Raw genomic sequence first — 7288 nt, forward strand, 5'->3', positions numbered from 1 at the left:
TCAAAAGCCCACAGTCCAAAGTGTCATTTGAAACAAGGCAATTCCCTTCTGCCTATGAGCCTGTAATATCAAAAGCAAGTTAGTTACTTCCTAGATACAATGGGAGTAAAGGAGTTTGATAAATACAGCCATTCCAAATGGGAGACATTGGCCAAAACAAAGGGGTTACAGGCCCCATGCCAGTCCAGAATCCAACAGGGCAGTCAAATCTTGAAGTTCAAAAATGATCTCCTTTGACTCCCTATCTCACAACCAGGTCATGCTGATGCAAGAGGTGGGTTCCCATGGTCTTGGGCACTTCCACCCCTGTGGCTCTACAGGGTACAGGCTCCCTCCCTGATGCTGTCATGGGCTGGTGTTGAGTGTCTCTGGCTTTTCCGGGTGCATGGTGCAAGCTGTCAGTGGATCTACCATTCTGGTGTCTGGAGGACAGTGGCCCTCTTCTCACAGCTCCACTAGGTGGTGCCCCAGTTAGGACTCTGTGTGGGGGCTCTGACCCCACATTTCCCTTCTTCACTGCCCTAGCAGAAGTTCTCCAAGAGAGCCTCACCCCTGAAGCAGATTTCTACCTAGACATCCAGATGTTTCCATACATCCTTTGAAATCTTGGTGGAGGTTCCCAAACCTCAATTCTTGACTTCTGTGCAACTGCAGGCCCAACACCACGTGGAAGCTTCCAAGGCTTTGGGCTTGCACCCTCTGAAGCAATGGCCTGAGCTCTAAGATGGCTCCTTTTAGCCAAGGCTGGGATGCAGGGTCCCATGTCCTGAGACTGCACAAAGCAGCAAGGCCCTGGCCCTGGTCCACAAAACCATTTTTTCTTCTTAGGCCTCTGGGCCTGTGATGGGAGGGGCTGCCATGAAGTTCTCGGACATGCCTTGGAGACATTTTCCCTATTGTCTTGGTGATTAACATTTGGCTTCTAGTTACTTATGCAAATTTCTGCAGCTGGCTTGAGTTTCTCCTCACAAAATAGGTTTTTCTTTTCTATTGCGTCATTTGGTCTATAGTGTAGATTAAGTCTGTTGTTTCTTTGGTGATTTTCTGTCTGGATACTCTGTCCAGGGCTGACAGTGGGATGCTGAAGTGTCCAGCTATTCTTTTATTGGGATCTATCTCTGTCTTTAGCTCTAATAATATTTGCTTTATATATCTCGGTGCTCTAGTGTTTAGTGCAGATTACAACTGTTATATCCTCTTGCTGAATTGACTACTTCGTGATTATATAATGACCTTCTTTTTCTCTTTTTATAAATTTTGTCTTTAAATCTATTTTTTTTCTGATATAATTGCCATCCCGTTATTTTCAGTCTACATGTGTCTATACAGGTAAATTGTGTTCATGAGTTTCTTGTAAGTCAACAGATAACTGAGTCTTGTTTATATATAAACAAGGGTTGGAATGAGTATATATATGTGTGTGTGTGTGTGCATGTGTGTATGAATTATATATTTATATATGGTATATATATCTGAATTATATATACATAGTATATATAATATAAACAAGTGCTATATGTTAACAGGGTTCCGATGTATATATATGTACATTCACTCACTCCATGTCTTTTGATCGGAGAGTTTAATCTATTTACATTCAATGTATTTTATTGATAAGTAAGGACTTACTCCTGCCATCTTGTTATTTGTTTTCTGGTTGTTTAGTGGCCTTTCTTTTTTCTTTTCTTCCTGTCTTCCTTTTAGTGAAGGTGACTTTCTCTGATGGTGTGTTTTAATTTCTTGCTTTTTATTTGTTGTGTATCTGCCATTTTTTTATCTGAAGTTACTGTTAGACTTGGAAATAATGTCTTATAACCCATTTTCTTAAATTGATGAACACTTAATACTTATTGCATAAACAAACTAACAAGCAAATAGAAAACTAATAAAAGCTTTACATTTAATTTCATCCTTCTGCTTTTCAACTTTTATTATTTATATTTATTTCTTATTATACTGTCTCTGTATTGAAAAGTTGTTGTGATTATTAGTTTTGATAGGTTCATCTTTCAGTCTTCCTACTCAATATGCAAGTAGTTTACACAGCACAGTTACAGTGTTATAATATACCGTGTCTTTCTGTGTTAACTATAACCAGTGAATCTTGCACCTTCAGATCTTTTCTTATTACTGATTAATGTTGTTTTCTTTCTAATTAAAGAAATTCCCTTAGCATTACTTGTAGGACATGTCTGTTGTTGATAAAGTCTCTCAGCTTTTGTTTGTCTGGAAAGTCTATTTTTTTTTCATGTTTGTGGGATATTTTCACTGCATATTCTATTCTAGAACTATTTTTTTCTTCAGCACTTTAAATATGTGATGCCACTGTCTCCTGGCCTGTAGTTTCCACAAAGAATTCTGTGGCCAGGCATGTTGGAGCTACTTTTATGTTATTTATTTCTTTTCCCTTGCTGCTTTTAGGATCCTTTCTTTCTCCTTGATCTTCAGAAGTCTGATTATTAAATATCTTTAAGTTGTACTATTTGGGTTAAACCTGCTTGGTGTTCTATCACCTTCTTGTGCTTGAATATTTATGGCTTTTTCTAGGTTTGAAAAGTTATCTGTTATCCCTTTAAATAAACTTTCTACCTAGATCTCTCTTTACTTGTTTTCTGGCTATTTTCTAGATCTTATAAGTGTACCATATTCCTCTTATTTTTCCTTTTGTCTCCTGTGACTGTATATTTTCAAATAGACTGTTTTTGAGCTCATTCACTCTTTCTTTTGCTTGATCAATTCTGCTGTTAAGAGACTGTAATGCATTCTCCAGTATGTCAAGTGCATTTTCAGCTATAGAATTTCTGCTTGATTCTTTTAAATTATTTCAATCCCTTTGGTAAATTTATCTGATAAGGATCTAAATTCCTTGTCTGTGTTATCTTGACTTTTGTTAGGCTTCCTCAAAATAGCTATTTTGAGTTCTCTTTCCGAAAGTTCACATATCTCTGTCTCTCCAGGACTGGTCACTGATGACTTATAAAGTTCATTTGGTGTGGTCATGTTTTCTCGAATAGTCTTGATGCTTGTGAATATTCTTTGGTTTCTGGGCATTGAAGAGTTAGGTATTCATAGTAGCCTTTGCAGTCCAGGATTGTTTGTACCTATCTTTCTTTGGAAGGTTTTCCAAGTATTCAAAGGAGGTTGGGTGTTGTGATCTAAGTCTTTGATCACTGCAGCCTTAAAGGCTCTTCAGTTAGCTTGTATTGAATGCTGCAGTCCTGATTCTCTTCATTCAGAGCAGTAGATCCTCTTCAAGCCCAGGGAGGATCCAAAAATACTGCAGGAGCCAAGACTGGAATCAGAGACCACAGGAGCTCTCTTGGTGTTCTACTTTTCTGTGGCCAAAGTGGTACCCAAGCTGCGAGACAAAGTCCCCTTTTGTATTAGTCCATTTTCACACTGCTGATAAAGACATAGTTGAGACTCAGCAATTTACAAAAGAAAGAGTTTTATTGGACTTACAGTTCCACATGGCTGGGGAGGCCTCAAAATTACAGTGGAAGGCCAGGAGGAACAAGTCACATCTTATGTGGATGGCAGCAGGCAAAGAGAGAACTTGTGCAGCAAAAGTCCCATTTTTAAAATCATCAGATCTCATGAGACCAATTCACTTTCACAAGACCAGCACAGAAAAGACCCACCCCAATAATTTAATCACCTCCCACCTTGTTCCTCCCACAGCACTTGGAAATTATGGGATTTACAATTCAAGATGAGATTTGGGTGGGGACACTGCCAAACCATATAACCTTTGTTATTTCCTCTCCTTTCCTCAAGCAGAAGGAGTCTTTCTCCACAGCCACCACAGGTTGGCATATGTTGAATCTCACCCAAAGCCAGCACATCTCTGAGTCTCACCCAAGACCCACGGTAAGTACTGCTTCGCTGTCACTACTGATCATTCAGGACCCAAGGACTCTTTAGTCAGCAAGTGATGAATCCTTCCAGGTCTAGTTCCTTCCTTTCAGGGTAGTAGGTTCCCTTCCAGCCAAAGGTGTGTCTGGAAATATCATCCAGGAGCTAGGGCCTGAAATGAGGGCCTCATGACTCTGCCTGCTGCCCTATCCTACTGTCAATGAACTGGTATAAAAGTTGCAAGACAAAGTCCTATTTACTCTTTCTTCTTCTCTCTTCAAGTGGAGAGAAGGAGTTTCTCGCAGAGCTTCAAGCTGTGCTTCCTAGGGTTGTGGGAGGGGTAACACAAGCACTCCCTTAGCCACCCCAACTGGTGTCTTACTAGGTCATGTGCCCCCCAAGTCCACTGTCAACAAGACAACCACAACATCAGGAGTTACCCAGGAATTGCAGTCCTTGTGGCTTAGACTGACTTACAAGTTTCTTTAGAACCCTAGAGCACTTTAGCCCATGGTGGTGGGGCTTGCTGGAATTCAGGTTCTGACTGTTGGAACAGATGATTCCTCTCTGGCAAGAGCTGATCTTAGTGGTCCCTCTGTAGGTCTTGGCTGGATTCTGCCTTGCGTTTCTTTCTGCTGTGACAGGCAGCACTGACTTCCAATGCAAATCCCCACAATCACTGCACTCTCCCTTCCTCCAACTGCTCGGATTCTCTCTCTGTGCAACAGGTCACTGCCAGGAGATAGTGGAGGGTTGGTGTAGGTGATTCAAGATTCTTTGCTACCCTCTTCAGTGCCTCCTTCCTTACTTAGATGTTAAAACCAAATATTATGATCACTCACCTGATTTTTGGTTCTTATGAAGGTGCTTCTTGTGTGGATAGTTGTTCAAATTGAAGTTTTTGCTGGGGGTGTTGATTACTGGGGTGTTCTATTTGGCCGTCTTGCTCCACGTCACCTCCAATGATGAGTTTTCAGATCCAAATACAAAGAACTATCCAGGGAAGAAAAGAAGAAGAAGGAGAAGAAGGAGAAGAAGGAGAAGAAGGAGAAGAAGAAGAGGAAGAGGAAGAGGAAGGAGGAGGAGGAGGAGGACTTAAACTCAAAACTTTCCTCTCTGCTTAAGACAATGCTAAGTGAATATGGAAGAAAATATATGCAAAGTGTATATTTGTAAAGAGTTTATATCTAAAAATATTTTTCAAGTCTCTTAGAACTCAACTATAAGTTACAAACAACCTAATTAAAAAGTGGGCAAAATCCTCCAGGCACAGTGGCTCACGCCTGTAATCCCAGCATTTTGGGAGGCCAAGGCGGGCAGATCACCTGAGGTCAGGAATTTGAGACCAGCCTGGCTGGCATGGTGAAACCCCGTCTCTACTAAAAATACAAAAAATAGCCGGGCCTGGTGGTGGGCACCTGTAATCCCAGCTACTGGGGAGGATGAGGCAGGAGAATTGCTTGAACCCGGGAGGTGAAGGTTGCAGTGAGCCAAAATCACACCACTGCACTTCAGCCTGGGTGACAGAGCGAGACACCACCTCAAAAAACAAAAAATTGGGCAAAATCTCTGAACCCCAGGGAAAAAGTTATATATATCTATACTGATTGCAAATAAACATTTGAAAAAAATACTTATAGTGTATCCTTAGTCTAATTCATGGAATGCATGTTAAAACAGCAATAAATTACGGTTATATACCTTATTAGGGTAGCTAAATTAAGAAAGACAGGGGTAGGGGAATGAAAACACCAAAACACCAATTACTGATGAGAATGTGAAGGAAGAACTCTCATTCACTCATTGCCGGTAGAAATGAAAATAGTACAGCCACTGTGGTTTGTATAGCCAGTTAGTACACTCATTCATTCGTTGCTGGTGGAAATTCAGAATACTACAGCCACAATTGTTTCATAATTTCACATGAGGCTAAAACATTTCAATTATACAACATCTGGATAAAGCCAAACCAGAGATTCATACAACAACAACAGCAAAATAATCATTGGGTTCAAGGAGTTCAGAGAAAGGAGAAGAGTGGAATAGAAGCAGCAAAGGAAGAATTGTTTTTTTATTCTGTATGACACTGTAATCATTTATATACTTTCCATTAGCCAAACCCCATAGAACTTTATAGCAAAAAAAAATGAATCATAGTACATGCAAATTAAAAAAGAATTATGTACTTTCTGATGGAATTGCACCATAAAATGCAGAATGTGACAAAACAATCTAAAGGTATTACAAATGTATGAAACAAACCCATTGAAAAGAGTGTATGAAAAGAAACCAGTCTATGTAACTTTGGGAATGGGTGGAGTCTCTCACACTAAAGGCAACATAAACTGTACAGAGCGCTTTACTTCAGGTGATGACAGGGGAATGGGTTCACAATTCTGATAATGCTATCTATGTAGACACTAAATTGAAGAAATAACCAATAAATGGTAGAGGGTAAGCGCCAGATTTCTCACAGATAGAGTAGGAGGTTCTAGACAAGAAAGGGGAGAATAACCCATGTGGTAAATGACTAGAGCTGGACACAAGTATGAACTCATGCTTAGCTTGCTACAGATATGAATGGTTGTATGTAGCGATGTTTTAGATGTGTGTACATGTATGCGTTGGTGTACATGCATGTATCTTCATGGTGACAGCCCAGAGGGACTAGAAACAACACCACTTCAGTACCAGCAAGTAGGTGCAGATCCCAGATCTTGTATTCTAATTTCGTTCTCTAATAAAAAGGACCAGACTCCTTAGAAAAATGGCTAATTTGTGGACTGAGCAAGCAAGTATTGAAAGAGAGAAGAAGATGGGCATATGGAAGACTCTTGCATCACCAGGAAATAGGAGGTACTAAAAATAAGTATGTAAAATAAAATAGATAAAAACAAAACACAATTACAGAAGTATGTCAAACTGACATGGTAGCCAATTGAAATGGCTTCCAGTCACCAGAGCTGAAACATTTTGCACAAGAAACTTTATAATGTAATTGGACTACAATTACATTTTAATATAAAGGAAGCATCCATGAGTTGATACTGGTAAAATAAATGATTGAATGGTGGAATAGATGGATCTCCTGTGCAAAAGCATTCCAAATATCTTATGTGGATGCAGCCCTGAAGGGGGTTGAACATGAGTTTGTGTGCCTTAAGTGTGGGCTGTGCATAGTGACTTCCTTTCAAAGAGTATAGTGTAGAAAGGAGAATAAAAGAGTATTTTTTACCATGTAGAAACCTGAAAAACATTACCACAGCCAGATGATCAATACTAACACAACAATAAGTCATGTTGATAACATGCACTCTTGATATGATGTGATAAGGATGGCCTTTGACCTTTTTGCTATTTCTTCCAAAACACATCTTTAGTCTAATCTGAGAAAAATATCAAATAATCTCAATAGAGGACACTCTACAAAATA

General features: G+C 39.7%; 1 long non-coding RNA gene across 1 annotated transcript; it reads right to left on the bottom strand.

Moving 5' to 3' along the window:
• Positions 1–3431: 3431 nt before the first annotated feature.
• On the bottom strand, positions 3432–6839 carry LOC124901168 (uncharacterized). The gene is made up of 2 exons (XR_007059107.1): positions 4698–6839; positions 3432–4587 (listed from the first exon to the last, which is right to left on the bottom strand). It is a non-coding gene; the product is annotated as an uncharacterized LOC124901168 (long non-coding RNA).
• Positions 6840–7288: the final 449 nt, after the last annotated feature.

Source organism: Homo sapiens, chromosome 5 (assembly GCF_000001405.40).
Source record: "Homo sapiens chromosome 5, GRCh38.p14 Primary Assembly".
NCBI lineage: Eukaryota > Metazoa > Chordata > Mammalia > Primates > Hominidae > Homo > Homo sapiens.